This window comes from Homo sapiens, chromosome 12 (genome assembly GCF_000001405.40).
Source record: "Homo sapiens chromosome 12, GRCh38.p14 Primary Assembly".
Classification (NCBI taxonomy): domain Eukaryota; kingdom Metazoa; phylum Chordata; class Mammalia; order Primates; family Hominidae; genus Homo; species Homo sapiens.
Genome location: NC_000012.12, coordinates 18,473,440 through 18,494,520, shown reverse-complemented (window position 1 = coordinate 18,494,520; position 21,081 = coordinate 18,473,440). Strand labels below are relative to the sequence as shown.

The 21,081-nt window shown below is 36.9% G+C and overlaps 1 protein-coding gene and 1 pseudogene across 15 annotated transcripts in view; both read right to left on the bottom strand.

Annotated features, from left to right (window-relative positions):
- PIK3C2G (phosphatidylinositol-4-phosphate 3-kinase catalytic subunit type 2 gamma) overlaps nt 1–21,081 on the bottom strand; it is a 483,857-nt gene that overhangs the window by 232,297 nt on the left and 230,479 nt on the right. For 14 of the 15 annotated variants that reach the window (XM_047429007.1, XM_017019471.2, XM_047429008.1 and 11 more), the window contains 2 exons: nt 5,892–6,072; nt 2,963–3,070 (listed from right to left, as the gene is read on the bottom strand). In XM_047429007.1, coding sequence (XP_047284963.1) covers nt 2,963–3,070; nt 5,892–6,072 — 289 coding nt within the window. Of the gene's footprint in view, nt 1–2,962; nt 3,071–5,891; nt 6,073–9,153; nt 9,251–21,081 lie in introns of those variants that run through there. The other variant, XR_931307.3, reaches the window with a different exon arrangement.
- Nucleotides 736–1,446, bottom strand: ZKSCAN7P1 (zinc finger with KRAB and SCAN domains 7 pseudogene 1; annotated as a pseudogene).

Here is a 21,081-nt window from a genome sequence, read left to right as displayed (position 1 = left end):
TCAAAAATATGTATTCAACAACTAGTATGCACATTATATGCTAAAAAAAGAAACACTACATCTCCCCTCACAAAGCCTATTAAATTTGGTGGTACACACACAGACACACACCCACACCCACCCACACACACACATATTAAGTTGAAAATAATTCACAGGATAGTTTATCATCATTGAATGAAGCCACATTTTAAGAAAAAAATTTTCAGAGTTTTACTAGATCTTGAAGATTTTGAGGGCCATAGATTAGCAAATAGACAGAAGCAAGGGTTTTCTAGATAGAAAGAGGCAAATGATAAGATATTAGATTAGAGTGATAGTTATAAAGTAGATTGGAATGCCCATGGATGGAAGAATTAATCAGAGTCTTAGAGGAGGATTTTATGGAGATGGTATAATAAGATAGAAAAGCTGGAAGAAAGGAAGATAGGATCTCTGTCCTTGAGAAGCACACATTAATGACAGATATCTAAAAATTAGTTGAAAAAGAAACCAGTAAGTAAATGAAATACCTGGTGCTTGTTTTCCCTAAGTAGTGGGGAAGAATTGCATTCAGTTCCTCCCACTCTCCCACTTGGTCCATCCTTTAGTGATTTAAAAGGAAATAGGGAATGGTTCATTGTGATTAATGGTTTGTGGGTAGGGGTGGGAGGCAAAGGTTGAGAATTTGTCTTATAAAGACAGTTTAGCTCAGACCTGAGCCCCTTGCTCTTTGCCTTTGAGAGCCACGCTTTAAGAAACGAATTGAGCCATACCTGAGTGCTTCTCCCCAGTATAGTTGACTGATAGTGATAGAATGCTGATTAAAGGCTTTCCCATGCTCACTGCATTCACAGGGCTCCTTTCCAGTGTGAACCCTCTGGTGCACAATCACTTGTGAACTATAATGGCTCACACAATCATATAACAGCTTTCACACTATCATTGCATTTATAAGATTTCTCCCCACAATGGGTTGTCTGATGTACCACAAGACTGGCACTATAACTGAATATCTTCCCATACCCATTATATTTGTAGGGTTTCTTAACAGTGTGAATTCTCTGGTGTATAATGAGGCATGAGTTCTGACTACACATTTCCATGCTTATCATATTTATAGGGCTTTTGGCAGGTGTGAACTCTCTGACACAGAATAAGACATTTACTCAGACCAAATGCCTTGTCACACTGCATTCAAAAGGTATGAATTTTCTCATAGTCAACAAGTTAAGAGCTCTCATAGATGGTTTCTCCAAACTGCTTCCATTTAAATAAGGTTTTTATATGAACCTCAGTGTGTAGGCTCTGATGTCAAATAAGACATTTAGTTTGAATGAAGGCCTTGCCACATTCATCATGCTTATAAGGATTCTCCCCAGTGTGGATTCTCCAGTAGTTGATAAGGTTTCTGTTGAAACAGAGAGCTTTTCCATACTCATTTCAACTGTAAGGTTTCTCACTTCTTTGTTCAATGGGACTGGAGGATAGATTCAAATGTTTCCCAAGATGGTGTCACCTGGCCATGTCTGTCCTGTTCATTGTTGTACCCATAGGTGCCCAACCCTGTGCCAGGCATAGCTAGTCAGAGCAAATGGAACCAGACAGTGGTTCTACTTGGGACAGCTTCTGCAGGAAAAGTACTGCTAACCGTAGGGTGCTATATAGGGAAGGAGTGTGGTCCCACCTGCAGCACTAGGGGTGGTGACTCCTGGGCAGCTGACCCCTGGCCCAGCCGGTGCACCTGCACATGCCAAACTTATATGTAATTTTAAGTGAAAAAAAACAAAAACAAAAACACTCTTCTCCTTTAAAACAAGCAGCCAATAAAGCAAAAGCAAAAACAAACAAACAAAAAATACATGGACTCAGTGATCCCTGTTGTTCTTTCTACATTAAGGTACAGTGTCTTTGAAATGCTGAGTTCCTACATATGTGCAGCATTAGACAAGAATACTGCTGATGATGAAAAAGTTGGGCAATTTTTTGAAAATTAGTAATGATTTGGATTTCAGCCCAGACAGACATATCTCAGTTTAAGGAATTTGAAGCCTTATTTTGTTATGTTTCAAAATATATTTATGAAGCATATCAAAAAATTTTCAGGGAGTCTTACTTGTGGCAAAGTGATAAAGATGATGGTATCAAGTTTTTAGCAAAACATTTTACATTCACAGTAATAATGGTCTAATTTTTCACCTAATTATTGGGTTTGTTTTCTTGACTGTCTTATGACTTCAGTTAGGTAACATTTATTGTCCGTGCATGATAGCTTAACCTCTTCACTTTTAAATCTAACATATTCATAATTTTCTCTGTTAGTGTCTTTGTACTCTTGGGCTTTTGAGAAGGAAGATAATAAAGCTTATCAGGAACAAGGGAGAAAGAATGATTCTAAGTCAGAGAAGTGTGACTGAAGAGGTACCATATGACAGAGGATTAGGAAGAGAAGGCTTAGGAAGTTGTGAGTCTGACAATGCCAAGATGGGCTTTCTAGGCGTGAGTAAAATCACAAACTATATGACACACTGACATATTAGAATCAATAAATTTTAAATCGAATCAAAATAGAAATGTTGTAGCTAATGACTAATGTTCGTGTACTAGGTATGGTTATGCACATAGTCTAAATAAACCATGAAATTATACCCAGCCTGCATGGGGTCACCAAATCAATCATTTTTAATGAGTCAAGAAATTAACCCAGCGATATGTTCCTCTATGTTCCTCTATTTTTTTTTTTTTCACTGAACTGATGGATAGTTTGTTTCCAAATAAACAAATCATATGATAAGGCCAATGTGATCCCAACTGGTCTTAGTGTATCAAAGGGAAAACACAATGTAAATGGATTCAGTTACTTTTTCGTTAAAATAATTGCAGTGTCAACTTACGAATTCTTTTTGCCATTTCAAACATATACAATGAACTAAACTATACAAAACAGAAATATTCCATTAATCTGAGGAATAAGTTGACTTACATCGTGATCAATCCCTTTTATACATAGGGCAGGGTTCAGAGGAAGATGACAAGTATTTACATCTTGAAAGAACTCTTCTAGTCTGCCAATTTCTTTCTTCAGTACCTCCTGTGAAAAATCATTAGAAAAAGGATTTAAGAAAATGTAAAGAACTTGACTTTTCCTTCAGGTTATAATTTTCTTCTATTGATTAAATGAATTCTTGAATTCAGGGTTACACACTTGGATGACTTTGGGGTCAGGCAGGTGATGTATTCAGGCATGAGAAGACAGTGGGCTAAAGACAATAGGGCATGTTGGAGAAATGGGAAACTAAGGCATGCATGCCCTTTCTAAAGGACCTCAAATTCAACTAAAAATAAAAACCAAACAAAGCACTGTACTGTTCAAACAAAACATAAAAGGGTTGGACTTGACCTGCGTGGCCGCCAATTTGGAAACCCTGCTTTATGTAATTATTAACATGATCCTTTTCTGATAATTTTCTGAAATCTGAGTTTGTGACTCTCAAAATTACACTCAATAGTATAGTGCATTTTACAAAAAAAAATTACGTACAGTAGTAACAACAATGACAAAAATCCAATTGCATAATGCTGTCAGAAATGATAATATGTAGGAACAAATAGTTTACTGGACATCAATGAGTATATTTCTGTTATTTACTCATTCCTACACTCCACTATACTCATGGCAGCTCAGATATCACAAACAACACCTTTAAATTGTGCATCCTATGACAAAAGAGATAGGAAATAATTACAATTCATCACAAAACAAACAAAGCTTCTTTTAGTCCACTTTCACATATGCATGATGGAGTACTATCCAACCATAAAAAGGAATGAGATCCTGTCATTTGCAACAACATGGATGGAACTGGAGGTCATTATGTTATGTGAAATAAGCCAGACACAGGAAGACAAATATCACATGTTCTCACTTATCTGTGACAGTTAAAATTTAAAACAATTGAACTAATGGAGACCGAGAGTAGGAGGATGGTTACTAGAGGCTGAGAAGGGTCGTCAGTGCAGCAGGGGGCAGGGGGAATAGTTAATGGATACAAAAAAAGTGTTAGAGTAAATTAGAAAGACTTACTATTTGCTAGCACGAGGTAACTATGGTAGAAAAATTTTTTTGTGCATTTTAAAATTGAAAATTAAAAAAGAAACTTTTTGAGCCCAATTCAGAAGACAAGGATATCATATTAATAATGTTCACTCAGCTCTCAAGAGTTTCTTACCTTTTACTCCTGGCTTATTGGCAAATAATAGAATCCACAGCTCCCAGAATCCAGAAGAGCAAAGTGTAGAGAGAAAAGTTGCATTACAGCCCTCTGTGTGTGTTGTTCTCCTTTGCCTCATCTATACTTGGATTTGCCTGGCAGATATCATGGAGAGGAATCTCTGCTCCCTTCATTTAAGTAAAGTATCTTCCCAGTTCATATAGTTATGCTTAATTAGTGCTTTTTTAAGTACAAAAGTAGCCATTAGGAACTTAAATTTTTGTGAGAAATTATTATTTCTTAAATTGTGAGAAATTATAAATGCCTCTTCCACCTCTTCCTTTTCCTCTTCCTATTTTCCTATGTGAAGAGATGTTATCACAAAAGCAGCCACTCAAGGCAAGATAAATATATTTACCTGAGTGAATAATGTCAATATCACTCTGGTACTTGAAGCGAATGATCAAAAAAAGCACCAGAATTATTTAAGTATAATGTACATCTTAAACATGTGAGGGATTTTAAAACATAGGAGATAAAGACCAAACCGTCACACAAACTTCTGTAAATTTTAAATCAATTTATTTAACTTGCCATCAACTTTTTGTCTACCATTACAAAATAATTAATGAACTTGTAGTAACGTTTAAAAAATCATAGAACTTTTTTTTGCATTGCTTATCCTATTATATGCCTTAAGGATCCTCTGTGTACTGGAGTCTATATATCTCCCATTTAAAAATTAATTCCAAACTTTTGCTTTTTTATTTTCCATTTTCTCCCAGGAAGGTGAAGTAGCATAGTTTCTGGCACTTCTACTAAATGAAGTGAGTTCCAGCAAGAAAAATCCTGGGCTGAGAAAGAATTCTGGGACACTTTGCCTACTACTATTTTTATATCATTTTGTTGAAAATTCTTGTTGATTTTAGATTATAAGTGGAGAGAAACTGAGTTCCCTTGAGGACAAAACTCATGTTTTGGTCATCTTTCTATCCTTAACCCCTAGTCTATAGTAGGTAGTTAATTATTATTGAATAATATTCTTAATACAATGAAAGAATGTCCCCTTTCTCCCTGCATCTAGAGTGTTGAACTTGAGAGAAACTACTTAATGGTGTATATCAGTATAGGGAACTAGTGATGGAGATAATTAAAAAGAGCAAATATTCTTCCAAGAAAAATAATAGCCAGGTCCATTATTATAAACACTGAGAAAGAGGCACATATTTTGACTAGTATCCATAGATCTTAGTATAAAAAGTATTACTGTTCTTAAGGCCATTGATTTATTTCATTTAATTCATCTTATTTGTTACGTGAAAAATGTCCTTTGCTGAGCAACGACAAAAACGTGCCCTAAAACTTCTCATGTATTTCTCCATGAGTCTGAATTGTGCCTCCATATTGACGCGATTAGTTTATCAGGCTTGTTTAGTCCAACTGCCTATACGTTGGTCTTTTCTTTTCAGGTTCTCTCTGTGTGTCACATGGCTATTTAGGTCAAAAAACCATGTCCTGGTGATAGACATTATCATTAACTTAAGAACAGTAGGTGGGGAAAAAAACTTGACTAAAGTAATTGATTTAAGTATCTTCTATTTAAGTGTAATCAAGGAATTTGCTTTGCAAACAATGAAATTAAAACTTAATTTAAGCCAAAGTTAAAAACATTACTACCTGAATATTAATATTTCAACAAACCTGTCTTTGATGGTCACTGGCAGACTTGACTCTTTCCCCAATATCTCCCAGAATTTTGATAAGTTTCTGCTCCTTGGAAAACTCATCATTCAAGGCTTTACCTGCACAGAATTGGAGAGCAGCTAGTAGCTTCTGATACCAGCTTTTAAAATAAGCTTCATTTTCTGCATTTTTTAGCAGCCTGAAGGAAAGAGAGAGAAAAAAATTCTTGTATGTAAAGCTAATTTTTTAAACCACATCCAGCCGGAACAGTAAGTGCATTTCAAACTAATCTGTATTTGGTGGCTTTGGGCAGTTTAACAACCTAGAATGGGGAAAATGTTGTTTATTCATTGACAGTCATCAAGTTCCATCTGATAGTTAATGAGATTCCAAGAGTGAAGAATCAATAAGAGATCTGCCTTTCTTCATTTCAATTCATAACACATCTTTTCTCCTTTCAGTCCTCTTAATTCTGTAACACACACTTTTCTCAAGAACATGCTTTTGACTTCTTAAAATATGCACAAATACCTTTAGAAATAGTTTTTATAAGTGACTGTACTATATGGAGACTCAAACATCAAGCCTAACTTTTTCTTGTTTCCTTCAAATGATAATATCCCCGCACTGTCACAAACCACAAAAGGTGCTGTCTTTTTCCGAGCACCTCCCCTGGACTACCTGGAGGAAGGTATTGTAAAGGCAAGAGCATGGTTTTTTGTTTTCAGGCATATCTGGACTCAAATCCCAGCTCTCAAACTTACAAATTACTTAATTAGGCTGAGTTTTTATTTATTTATCTTAAAATAAGGTAATTCTATAAAGCTATAGAGCTGTATAGAACACAGAATGAGGCAATGCATTTGAAAGTGCTTAGCACAAAAACATTAGTTCATCCACGTCTCATAGCCTTCCCAAGTCAGCTTCTGTCTCTGCCTGGAAGTCTGCTCCTATCATGAACATGGGAAGCATAAATCACGACGAAGTGAGAAAACATTGCAAGATAATGGAGCAACAACAAATGTTTGACAATTTTACTTTCTATTATACCCTTAAAACACTGAAATGGAATTAAAAAAGACTAATTTATTTGCACATTAACTTCTCTCTAATTGATTCTTTTAATCTTAACTGGTCTTTAGTTTTTGCCTTCTCTGAAAAATGATTAGCATTCAAGGAACTAAAAGATAATTCTGAGAACTAAATACTTAAAAAAAAAGGATTTTTAAATATATAGATGTGTTTTATTCTGCATGCCTAATTTTGCATCTCTGTCCAATGTGTATTATGTTAGAGATACTCTAACAAACAAATTATTTTTATTCAATGTTTTCTGTTGCTACACATTAAAGTTAAAAATTAGTTGAATGAGTTTGCAGTTTTTTAAGGTAAGGGCCTGTTCCTTTGTCATTATTAGAAGCCAACTTGTCTTCTAGTACCTCTTTTATTTTCTCAAAGGAAATACAAATTTTGTGTGAAATAATGGCTCTTATTTACTTCTGGAAAGCATTTACACACACACACACACACACACACACACACACACACACAAAATACCTCAAGGGACTAAAGATGTATCACTGGTAAAATATTCTCTATTGATACTTGGTTCTTTTCATTTTAAGAAGAGTAGCAGTGAAAAATTTTCCTACTCATCCCTATGATGAGATTTTGAAATGTCAAACAAGTAATAAATGGACCACATAATTAATTAACTGGAAGCTCTAAGCAAATGCATGTTGCATGCATGTGAATGCAAAGCTGCAGATGCAGGCATGCACTTGTAAAGCTTGAAGATGTTTTTTGCAGAATTGTGTACTGCTCAGATTCTCACAGTGCTTTGAGCACAGTGGTAATGTACCATTTTATAGTCTACATGGGATTCATCGGAATAGGGAGTGGATCGATGGAGTATTTCTATGTTGAATATCAATGTTTGTCAGCACTTTCATACACTTTGAATATTGGGCTACTTGTTTTTTTTTTAAGTATTTTTAACCTGATCTAGTACATAAATATAACTCTATGACTACCCAACTGCTACATACGTGATAGAAAGAAAAGTTAATTTACACAGACAAAATCAACAATTTTTTACCAAAATAATTAAAGAAATAATATATTTTAGGGTTGGGGTTATAGGGACTGTCAGAATTGTTCAGTTAATTTGTACGTATAATACTCTTATTCCTTATTCTATTGAAATGAACTTGTTCACTCATGAGCAATGTATTTGCTTCTCTCTGGTTCAAGGAGGAAAAACTCAGTTTGATTCCTTGCTCAAAATAAAACCGAGCAGGGGAGAGTCACAGAGATAACATGTGACTATATCCTAAAAAACATAAAAGCTAAGAAAACTCAGTGTATTCTGTTGGGATTATTTTCCTTGGAGAATATACCTCATTCAAACCCTGCATCCCTGCCAAGATTACATGTTCTCCTGGTGAGATCTGGTTCAAGATCCATGGCTTTTTACTCAATGTGTAGAGAGTTTGTTTTTGTACACTGCAGAATTGAAATCATAGAGTGCTGGAGATGAACACGAGAGGTCAATTATTCTATTCCTGTATTTTCAGGCACAGACACTTTAAATGACAAGAGAAATTAACATGCCCCTTAACTTTAAACAACTACGGAAAAGGCTGAACTACAAAGTTTTGGGTGGAAGGTTACTCAGTTCTGTGTCAGTGACCTTCTCTATAAGGAAGCAGTAAATCCTAAATATTGTAGTTTTTATCCATTGCCTCTGTCTATAAGATTGTAGAAAATAGCTGGCCACTCTCTTTTAAGGTTTACAGAAATTCTTTTCAAAAGATGCCGTAACCTGGGAGAGGCAATATTGCTTATGGCAAAAATGTTTAAAAATAAAAAGTTTAAGGTCAAGGGACTGAGAAGTATCAAGTAAGACTTGCTATTAAAAGACTGGGCTTTTAAGATGCAGGCAATGTGATTTTGCACAAACTGTGAGGTAAATCTTAAAATGCCAGAGACCTGTTTACCCTAATGTCTGCAATATCCAGCTGTGATTCAATTTGGTATTATTTTGTACACATGCCTTAATGCTTTATAAAGTGTAAGTTATGACAACATTAAAATGAGGATGAATGCATAAAATCTAGATGATTAAAGAAGATTTTGACAGTATTAAGTTTGGTAGGCGGTAAGGAAGAGGGAAAGAAACATAATCCAGGTGACTGAGCAAATTTTTTATAGGATGTCATGGAGGTATTTAAGTTAAGTGAATTATAGTGGACTCAGAGATACAGAGATAGTCACCAACCTCAGCTAGCATAGAATGGAGATTTTTCTTGAAAATTAGAACTTTTCTACATTTCTTCATGCATGTCGCTGCTTCTGGTCACATGATGAGGGACTTGCTAGAGCCACAGGAAAAGTACAGATAGTTCATATTCCATCAGTCTACCAGCAGGACAGAACAGAGTAATCACATCATCCCAGCCCTCTTTGCCTCATAAACTCATTCAATCCAGGCCGTAATTTTAGTTTTCAACAGCAGGATATTGCACATCTCAGGGACTGTCCTAGAATTTTACTCACGTGTGTATTTTCTGTGGGTCAAGAGAGGAAACAACATCCAGTAACAGAAAAGAATTGAGCTACACAATAGAGATGAGTGATTTCAGATCACTCCAGGGCTTCCCCTTCCCACTTCATCTTGTATATTTTGCTACTTTGTTTGGGCTGAGGTACGTGGATCAGGAGACCAATTTTTAGTGAGCACAGGTGGATTCCAGAATATGACTTTTTCAAGTGTATTTAGAACTCTGGGACAAATAAAGAATACAATTCAATAACTAAAATATAATTGTTAATTTTAAGATTTTAGTAGTGTGGCTAGGAAATGAAAAGCATGCCTATTTAGCGTTAGCAACTTTATTTTACCTCTAAGTGGCTAAGAGATTTATTTAGTATTTTCCTCAACTGAGGAACTTGATACGTTATACAATCCTTGCAAAGATAATTGTTTTTTCTGACTAGCCCATTTTTAGAATATTGATTTGCTCTTTCAGAAATAGCAGCACTAACTGTTGAATTTTGCATATAAAGAGCATTATATGGGGCAAGTCTGCAGATAATGCAAATTCCAATCAGTATTCTGCAATATGTGTTTATCAATAAATTACTTCGTAACAACTCAAGTATAAAACTATTCACAAAGGAAACAAGTTCGGAAAATGATTAAATCCATACCCTAGATGTTGTATATATTTTTAGAACACTTAAATATATGAGAGGAGCCTATAAGGCATGAAACTGACTTGGTTTATACCCCTACCATAATTTATGAGGCTAATCATTCTGATAATTTCCAAAGTAATCTCTTTGGAATGTTATATATTCATGATGTTCCCACTGTTCCCACACTGTGTGGTAGATTTCATTATTGTTCCCAGCTCCATGTTTTCTCCTTTGTAGAAGATTATACCTCTAGACTCTTTGTCATGTGACTTCCAGTACCTTCCTGTAGGTAGAATTTACTTCTTTATCCCTTGTCAGATTGGTCATGTGATTTGCTTTGGTCAACAGAATGTGACTGGATGAAACCTATACTCATGTCCATGGAGACGCTTTAAATGGGCTATTGTGATTTGGTTTGGCCTCCGGTTTGGTTTAATTTTGCCTCTCCTTTCTTCCTGGAGAACAGCATGTCCCAGTAGGAGGCTGTTCCTTTAGTCCTGGAATGAGAAGACAATGTGGAGCCAAGCTGAGCATTGATGCACAGTCAGGTGGAGCCAAGCAGGACGACAGCAAGTCTGCAGCCTGAGTCCTACATGAATGAGAAATAAATCTTTGTTGCCATAAGCTACTGAAACTGTGGGGCTATTTGTTGCTATGGTAAAAACTAATGAATATGCCAACTTTCTTTGTTTTTCTTTTCTTTTTCCACTTGTTTGTTTGAGTTGCCTTTAGAATGGAAAGCACATTTTTTTAAACATTCTCGGGGGGTATCCCTGAGGATATTTTGGGGCAAATCTAATTACTGAAAATAAACAAAAGTCATCTGGAGCCAAGTCTGGTGAATTAGATGAATAGTCAATTTGAGTATAATATTTCAGATAAAAAAAACTATAAAAGTAATTAACATGTCTTTTTTCGTGGATCATAAAAAGTCCCAAAAGATATTCCAAAAATGATTTGATCCAGCTTACTTGGACATGTATATTCTGTGCCACTGCTAAAATTCTGTTGTTATTTTATTACTACTAACATACTTCTTGACTCATTTAAAAGTGTGAATAGGCCTATGTACCATCTGTTGCTTTGTCTAGCCAAGTGTCTGAGTATCTGATAGGAGATGCTCTCTGAGTAAAAATGTTACAGTACTAAGTGCAACAGGGCAAAGGCAAACTTTTTTAGGGTTTACATAACACAGGGCTAAACAAAGGGTCTGATGGCTGAGGGCAGTGAAGGAGATGGTACATGTGGCTGTTCTTAGGAACTAAAAACTTCGGCTCTACCCTAATGGTAATATTTGAGGACTGAAGTGGCTGAAAAGGGGCCAATGGCTTTGGATGAGGAAGCATCTGTATTAGCATATTGAGTGTTACTTTCCCTTGTTGCTCTGGAGTTGGCTACCAAGACCTAAGACTGAAGAAAAGAGATAATAGTTATCCTATATTTCAAGAGTGTTGCAAACATTGACAACAAGAAGACAACAACAAGTAAACGAAAAACCAACTGGGGGTCAGATAACTCTTCAAGGGTTATCAGGAAATGGATAAAATGGCTATGTGCATTATCTCCTCTACATATTTGCAGGTGGGGGTGTTTGAGAGTCATGAGTCATTAGCCCAGTGAGGAATAGAGTGAGTCCACGATGTCCACTTATCCTTTCAAAGTCCAGTGGGGAAGGAAGCTCAATCTGAGCCATTTATAGTGATTTGAGTGTATGCAATAAGAGACTGTTACCCCAGTTTAGACTTCTGCTCTGAAAGAGAGTTTGTTGATTTTCCCTAGGCTTCTGTGAACATGAAGAAAAAGCAAGGCCAGGATGGAGAAAAGGGGGGGCAAAGAAGCAACCTGCATTCTTGCACCCCTGCAGTTTGACAAAACAAGGGTTTGTAGGGTGGATGTTACTCAAGGTTTAAATAAACTCATAAAAGGTAATTATATGTGCTCCACTCTTTTTATAGGTAGAGGTTGAGCCAGAGCCAAATCTCCTGGTGGGGAGGTTCTCCAAGGCTTCCCAAAGAACTCACCCATGGTAACCCCAAGGTAGCCAGCTTTGACCGTGAACCCACAGTGGGCCTTGGTGGAGAATCTGCGCTCACAGAGAGGGGATTGCAATTCCTGCCCTATCAAGTATGAGGGTCACTTTTCTCTTTCTCTTTTCTTCCCACTCTTAGCTAAGAAAAGTTACAGCCAAAAAAGAAAGAGAAGAAGAGTGAAATAACAGATCATATCTTCTATTCCTAAGCTAGATCTTGGCTAGTATTGGAGTCTAGGGGTGCGAGGGTGGCGGGGGGCGGGTGGATGGGGTGGGTGAGGTATCTGTCAAATTAGAGAAGAAAACGAAGTTTTAAATTGGACAAGATGGGTTGAAGTTTTTTGTTGTCCAAAAGTATATACGATGAAACTATAGAATCTAGCCTGGTTTTAATTAGGGAATGTGAAAGGGAAAAGGTAGTATTTTTTAAATCGTTAAAAGTTTTGAGACCTACTATGCTCAATTAGTTTAATAAAAACTAGCCAAGACAGTTAAAAATCTAAGAGTCAGAAAGAAATGTGCAGCTTCAGGAAGTGTCCTGATTGCATTGCAGGTGAGAAAAGCCCTAAGATGCCGAATAAGGGGGATCTTATTCTGGGGCAGTAGAATTTTGGGGAACCTTGACCCAAAACTCTTGAGAGTTAGGCTGAAATCATTCTCTTTGCCTCTCTTTATTCCCTCTCCACCACTTACTCTTCCAGATCTGGGCTTATTTTGTTTGATTTCATTTGTGGATGAGCATGGCTAAGCAATGAATTGTATTTAAAAAAAAACTTGTTTCTTTTGCAATAGGTTATTAACACTGCATATATATGAGTATATACATACTATCACAATTAGTTGTCATGATAATTAAGTAAAATCCTTAACAGTTATGGTCAGTCACATATTTAATGATAAGCTTAAAATTAGCTATAGATGGTATCTGTTTGTGTAAACAACCTACAATGAAGAGTTCTATTACACAACAGTGTTGCACTCAGGGTCAGCTGGTAGCTATGGAGGGAAAAAACTATGTTGAGCAGATAAGTTTCCCTGAAGTTTCCTGCACCTGTAATAAGAAATCAGAGCTCCTTACATTCATCTCACAGAAAAACGTGGTCAACCCGGGAGCCTGATGCAGGATAGGTGAGCCCCCAAATTGGTGATTAATCTGGGAGGGATCTTCACCCAGGGAAGAATTCAAGCCAGGTGCAGTGGCTCATGCCTATAATCCTAGCATTTTGGGAGGCCTAGGTGGGCTGATCACGAGGTCAAGACATCGAGACCATCCTGGCCAACATGGTGAAACCCTGTCTCTACTAAAAATACAAAAAAAATTAGCTGGATGTGGTGGCATGTGCCTGTAGTCCAAGCTACTCAGGAGGCTGAGGCAGGAGAATTGCTTGAGCCTGGGAAGCAGAGGTTGCAGTGAGCCGAGATTGCGCCACTGCACTCCAGCCTGGAGACAGAGTGAGACTCCGTCTCAAAAAAATAAAAAATAAAAAAATAAAAAAATAAAAAACTCAAGGGTGAACCAGAGGTGTTAGCAACTTTTATTGAAGCAGCAATGTAGAGCAGCAGCAGAGGTATTTCTCCTTGCAGAGCAGGGCTACCCATAGGCAGTGTGCCCAGACTAGCAGCTCAGAGGCAGTTTTGCAGTCATATTTATATCCACCTTTAATTATACGCAAATTCAGGGGTGAATTATGCAGAAATTTTTAGAAATGGTATGGTCACTTTCAGGTCATTCGGTTGCTGCCATGGAAAGGAGCAGTAGCATTTGGGTGTTGTCATGGCAATGGCAAACTTGACTTGGCACACACACTTACAGAAAGCTTCTTCTGCCCCATTCTTGTTTTAACTAGTCCTCAATTTGGTCCAATGTCTGAGCCCCACATCTGGAGTTAAGTCTTGCCTCCTACCTCAAGGCTACATGTAAATACATAAAACTCCTTCCAGCCTACTCATATGTTAACACGTAACATATGTTCACATGTTCCAGCCTACTCACACGTTAACATGTAACATGTTCACATGTTAAATTTATCAAATAATGGGGTTTAAGAGAAGGGACTGTCCTGTTTACATTACAAAACACACTTACTGCTTTAGTGTAAGTTATTTTATTTATCATTTTTCTAAATTAAGCACTCTGCTGTGAATAGCTTATAGTGACCCCTCTCTCCCTCCCCCACTACACTCCGTATATGCTTGTTAATTATATAAGCAAAAGAAACAGGTGGAATTTTAGCCCTGGGCACACTTTGGAAGACACAGGTATCTATGAGGCCCTCCTGTATCCCACCTCCCTTTTCGCTCATTTTGGTTTTCTCCTTTCCTGATCCCCAAGAAAGCCTTGGCTCCAGCCACTTCTCCTTTGTCAAAAACTCCACCTTGTTCTGCTCTCTTCTGTGGTGTCCTGGGCTTCCAAATAGTCCTTGTCCTTCCCACTCCAGCTGAACACATTCCCTGAGTATAATTATACTCATATTCTCAGTGGGATAATATTACAAGAGCATGGAGCTGAACAATACTTTGAGGAAATTTCTCCCACCCTTACATTTGTTAGGTGAGGACACTGAGTGATCGAGAAATTTGGCCAACGACCTATGACAAGAGCCCAGCTTTCTGGACAACAACTCAGGGCTCCTTGCAAAGCACCATATTCTGTGTTCTAAAATCCACTGAAACGTGATTTGAAAGACTGTTTTCTACTTTCACCAACTCTGGCAAGAACCTGCATGCTTTGGTTCTTCACTTTCCTTCTCTGTCAAATGTTGGCATTGGTGAGGTTTAGTAAGCTGCCTTCCAGTTCCGGGGCTCTATAATTTTATTCTTTTATGAAATTATCAAGCATTTACTCTGTGCCAGGTGTTTCCGAGCATTTTGCATAGCTGTGTTAGGCAATCCTTACCTCAGCTCCAGGTCATATGATTTCTTCCTTCTCACAGATGAGGGAGGATATTGTGATTCATGCAGGTGGAGTAAATTGCCCAAAGTCATCCACCCAGTGGACTGGGGATTCAGATCCAAGTGTGTCTGACTCCCCAGCCCTTGCTCTTTAGCCTTATGCTGTGCCACCTCCTGATGTCTTAACATGGATACCAGCTGAGGGGTTAGCCCGAGACTCTTATGCAATCTAGGAATTATCTTCTGCCACCTTCCTGCCCTGTTTTCCTTTAATCTTTTTCTCTTGCTTCCTGGTTCCTAACACTCTGAAGTCTCATGTTCTCCAGGTTGCCTTCTTTCTTTCCAAAGGCTTCCAACTTTCTATGTATGTATGTGTGTGTATATGTATGTATGTATATGTACTTTATATGTATTTATGTGTGTATACATATGTATATTTTATACATACATAGATATATTTTATATATGTATACGTATATATGTATAATGTATATATGTGTGTGTGTATATAAAAATATATATATACATATATATATATATTTTTTTTTTTTTGAGACAGGATCTCACTCTGTTACCCAGACTGGAGTGCAGTGGTGTGATCATGGCTAACTGTAGCCTTTACTTCACAGGCTCCACTGAACCTCCCACCTCACCCTCCTGAGTAACTGGGACCACAGGCTTGCGCCGCCACGTCTGGGTAATTTTTAAATTTTTTGTAGAGGTGGGGTCTCCTTGTGTTGCCCAGGCTGGTCTGGAACTCTTGGGCTCAAGCGATCTGGCCTTGGCCTCCCAAAGTGTTGGGATTACAGGCATGAGCCACCATGCCCAGCCTTAAATATAACTTTGTGTGAAATATTGATAAACAGGGATATTTTTCTCTCCCTTACACAGCCCACTAAAATAATAGAATTGTGGGATCTATTCTGATGATGCAAATCATACACCTGACTCACTTCTCCTCCACCCCTTCTTCACTTGAGAAAGTGGGACCAACATCACAGTTTCAAAGGGTCTGGCCTCCTTGGTTTATTTAGACAAATGGCAGTGGGTGGCATTGGGGGAGTAGATGGGAGAAGAGGCCACATTGAAAGCAATACACTGATTGCATTTGCGAACCTAAGAATCTTGATGAACTGTGCACATGCAACAGATGTGCTTGAACTACCCATTTTAACTGGGCCTGGGGTTCAAAATAACTCAAAATGTAGCAGAAAAGAAATGGGAAGTCTCTAACATCAGCACATGTGCTGTAATAAAATAAATTTTGCTTGATATATAATTAATGCTGGAATCCATGCTCATGGAATTTTAAGTTAGTTCAATAGGTGTCTACAGTTTCCCTTACTCTTTGAAAATGTGGTTCTGAACTGAGTGCCCAGCTCAGTCCTTTTTTTAAAAAATTTCTCTTTTTTCTTCTAAATACCCATATAGTTACTTTAAAGGCAATGTAAGCATCTTTTTCATAAAGTTTCCTTAACAAAATTTCTTTTAACAGCAAGGCAATTCCTTTGCTATATGAATGTTTCATAAGAATAGCAAACTAATAATAAAATTCCCCTTTACCCCTCAGCCTTTTGTTCTTGCACAGCCCTCTGGTGAAAGCTGGATAATCATCATATTGCGCAGTGAACAATTCATGTGTTTGAACACAGCTGGAGAGGCAGGTTTATAGGTGCAAGGCGAAGCTGGCTTTGAAATACCTAGTTTCCCTGGAACCTCAGCTTCAAATCACAGCTGGGGCAGGTGCTTCTCCCTTCATTCTTCAGAGTCACAAACAGTGAGATTCATTCTGTAAAGGTATTAAAGGTTCTCTGGGACATTATCCATAAGATCTGGAGTTGTGTTTGATGTCCTGAGAAAACTTCTGCAGCATTCTCGTTCGTTGTCATAAAAGAACTTGTCCCCTAAAGTTGGCTGGGACCATTTAATCCCATTCATTTTGGAAACTCAGTAAGAAACTGGTGTTGTTCTATGAGGCCTCCACAACCTACCTGGCTAATTTCCTGTTGACTTATGTTATGTAATTTACCTATCCTTGTGCTAATTTTCTGTTGACTTATGTTATGCTGTTGTTGCTATTGTTGTTCAGGTTGTACCTTATAGGCAGGTATAATTGTCCTTTTCACTCTATCAGTTCGTTTCAAATGCTCTCTCTGTAACTGTACAAGCAGTTTAACAGTTCCAACCTCAGCCTTTCCATTTGTAAAATGATGATAATCATGTCTGTCCTGTCGTTTAATCTACGTTTTTGTTTTGAATTGTGTCCTCTCCCAAAACTCATATGCCAAAGCCCTAACTCCCAAGGTGACTGAATGTAGAGACAGGGCCTTTAGGAAGGTAATTAAGGTTAAATGAGGTCATAAGACTGGGGACTTAATCCCATAGGGCTGGCGTCCTTATGAGCAGTGGGAGAGAGCAGGAGAGCACACGCACACAGAGAAAGGCCATGTGAGGACGCAGGGAGAAGGTGTCTGTCTTCAAGCCAGGAAGAGAGGCCTCACCAGAAAGCAAGCTTGCTGGCACCTCGATCTTGAAATTCCAGCTTCCAGAACTGTGAGAAAATAAATTTCTGTTGTTTAAATCACCCAATCTGTGGTATTCTAGGAAGCCCTAGCAGACTGATACAGTTTCCAACTTAGAACTCTTTTTTTTTTTCAATCCAGACCATGTTCATCTATTTATAAGATAGCACACTTAAATTTTCCTAAGGCATTTTAACCTTAACATGTCTGATTTCATCATCATTCTCCCCAATACCTGCTTCTTCACCTGAATTACTTATCTCCATGAATAGGATGGCTAGACTTCCATCACCCTAACTAAAAATGAGGCTGTTATCCTTGGCCCTTCTCTCACCTTCATCCCCAACATCAAGTTTTCTACCATGTCCTATTAGGTTTACCTTCAAAATAGCTCTCAAATCTAGTTTCTTCTTTCTGTCATTGCTGACAGAGTTTAACTGGGGCCTTCATTTCTGGTACTCAGTTTTCCCATTACCTGTGAATTTTTTCCCGCCCTCTCTTCCTTTTTTACTTAGTCTAATGAAATCTAATTCTAGGGATTAAAATCACCTAGCCTTCCCCGGGATAAAATAGAAAATCCTTAGTATAACAAACAGAGCACTTCATGATTTGTTTCTCTCGGGTCTTTAAGTCTTATCTCATATTTCCAATCATGTTCTTCCACCCCAAACATAAAGTACTACCCTTGGTAACTTGAATCTTCTCAGCTTTCTCAAGCTGTAATGCTTTTGCCTTGCCCTGTCCTCTGTATCTGAAATGATGCTTCTATACAACATCTGTGTATCTTTTAATGTTTAACTTAGCACATTTTCTAAAAAAAGCTTCCTTGGATTTCAGGCTTGGGCAGGTATGCATTATCCACCCGTGTAAGGATGAAGTACTTTCCTCTATTCGTTGTTCTTATTGACAGTTATTTTTTGCTTTTTAAAAATCGTGTTTTAGTTTTTTTAAAACGTCTTTCTCCTACTAGATTTTAAATTCTTTCGGGACAGAACTGTAACTTTACACCCTTGTGGTTCAACAGTTTCTCCTTGTGACAGAGTAGGCAGTTAATATTTCTTGAATAAATGAATTAAATACTACTAAATAAATAAATCCCATCTTCCTAAAATTTATTTATTGATTAAAATTTTGGAATATGAGCCCAAACTAACCTAGTAATAGCTTGGGAATTATAGAATCCTAAGTAATTACATTTTCACATGGTATTTCCTTTAGTCGCCTAAGAGTTTGCATATTATACATATACATGCATATACTTAAAATATATTTATTAATGTAGACATTAATTACAAACTGATTAAACTTAATTTATATTTGAGAATTTTGAAAGACTCCAAGAGAATACCAGAGTTTCTCTATCATATTGTGATTTGAGGATTCAGATCATGGGGAAAAATTTGGTGGAATTGTTACTGTTTAAAAATAATTGCATAACTAAATGAACTTAGTTGTTGAACCCCCATCGTTGGTAAAGTTACATTAGCTAAGAATCATCCCACAGAGTACTTTTCTATCAGATAAGCCATGTCATTTTAGAATTGGACATTTTTCATCTCGGGGGAAAAATTAATTACAAATGTAAGAAAAAAATGGTGTGTGTGTGTGTGTGTGTGTGTGTGTGTGTGTGTTGGGGTGGTGGGTGAGATTGAGAGAGAGATTCTATTTAGTTAAGTAATCTAAGCATTTATCTCTAAAGAATTTTCAAAAGCCTGTTGTAAGAAGTTTAGATTGGCTGCTACTAACAATGTTGGTGCAAAAAAAAAGTCAGACTCTAAAACCCAGTCTTATTTAAGATATAAGCAATTATAGCAATAACCAAAAAAGGTGGCAATATCTACCAAAGTTAAATTAGCCTATAATAATCTATCGGTGGCTTTTATTCTTATTGTTATTTTCATTTTTGCTCCTCTTTAGAAAAGTCTTTTCACACCGGACCATTCGGTTCTTGTGTTCTTATGAGATTCTCCCATCATAATTATCCTTTAAGAAAAGTTTTAAGAGCCTTGCCTTAATGAGACTCTTCTCTGTCTCTGAAATCATCAGTAGAGGTTGGATGATAGTGCTTAAAGGGCAGATAACTGAAATTGCTTTGGAATTAATTGGTTAGCAATTTTCTTTTTTTCTGATCGGAAAAAAGGACAAATAGTTACTGTTCACATTTCTTAGAAAATGGCATTAACTCAACCAGAATTTAAAAATCATTTATTTGAATTATGAATCAAATATTTACATGCTCTATCTTTAGAAGGATTCTATAATACTGTTCCTAAAATAGTATTTTCCTCTATGTTAGTATTTTATGTTGGACAAACTCAATAATGCTTAACTCATCTTCTTATTTGTATGCTTTACTTTAACTTTTTTTCTTGTTTTCTTGATTTCAATTAGCAACAGAAGAAATTAACTGGCTTATTGTAGTGCTTTTCTAATTACTTTGTAATGATTTTTTATTTTCACAAATTGGGAAAATAGAGTAATGAGATGGTAAATTTTTGATGAATTTCACTTGTTTTCTTTCCCAAGAATTCTGGAAAGGTATAAATAGGGAATTCAGCAAGAGAAAGTCTCCTGTTTTTACATGGTAAATTCTGCTTCAGGACGTCTCATTACCAGTTCCGTTTCTGTTTCTTGGACTGGCAATGCCTGTGTCAATTAAAAAATTCTAGTATCAGTTTTAAGGCCTTGAAATATAGGCAAAGAACAGGCTAAGGAGTTGGCTATATCTGAGTTGGAAACATGGTTGGACGATTTAAAGGCTGTGTGACTTTTGGCCCCTGACTTAACTTCTCTGAATCTCAATAGTAGCTAATGATACTCAATTGACAAGGTTGCTGTGATAATTAAATGATATAATTTAGAACAGTACCTAGTGAATGTGTGATATTAATATCTGCTCAATAATAATAGTAGTTGTTGTTCTTGGTATTCACAAAAATAGGCAGTTTGAATACTAGCTCAGATTGTTCCAGATTTCATAAATATTTTTGCTGTGTGGCTCATTTTACCAAAAATGTTTTGCCAAATATGACCCAATGAAAAACTTAAACTTTCCTCCATCAAAATACCTGCTAAATTAAAAGTATTACTTATTTTATACTGTTTTTGCCAAAAACAATTAAGAAAAATGGCAGAGTGCTTTCTCAACTGTTTAAGACAAAACTGGTTTCAAGGATATTCAAGTTCTGTACCTTCAGTTAGTTTCATGTCATTGTCAAAAGCATCAGTGAAACAACTACTGTAATAAAAATTAGAATAAATATATAATAATCATAACAACAATAGCAGTAATTGAAGTCAAGTCACCGCTGTAAGAACAGTAACAGAATCAATTCAGCAGGCACTCTACTGCAACATTACTCTTACTAACATCAAAGATAGCTGAGCATTTTTCTTAGTTTCTCAACAAGTACTGAATGGCTGCTCTAGATACATTATTTCTACTTGATCCTTATCACTGGGATGGTTGTTTCAATATTTGATCTGAACTGAGCAAGCAGGCAAAGAAGTAGCAGACATGAGCACCAGCCGGAAATCAATACTGGGGACTTCAGTACCATATAAA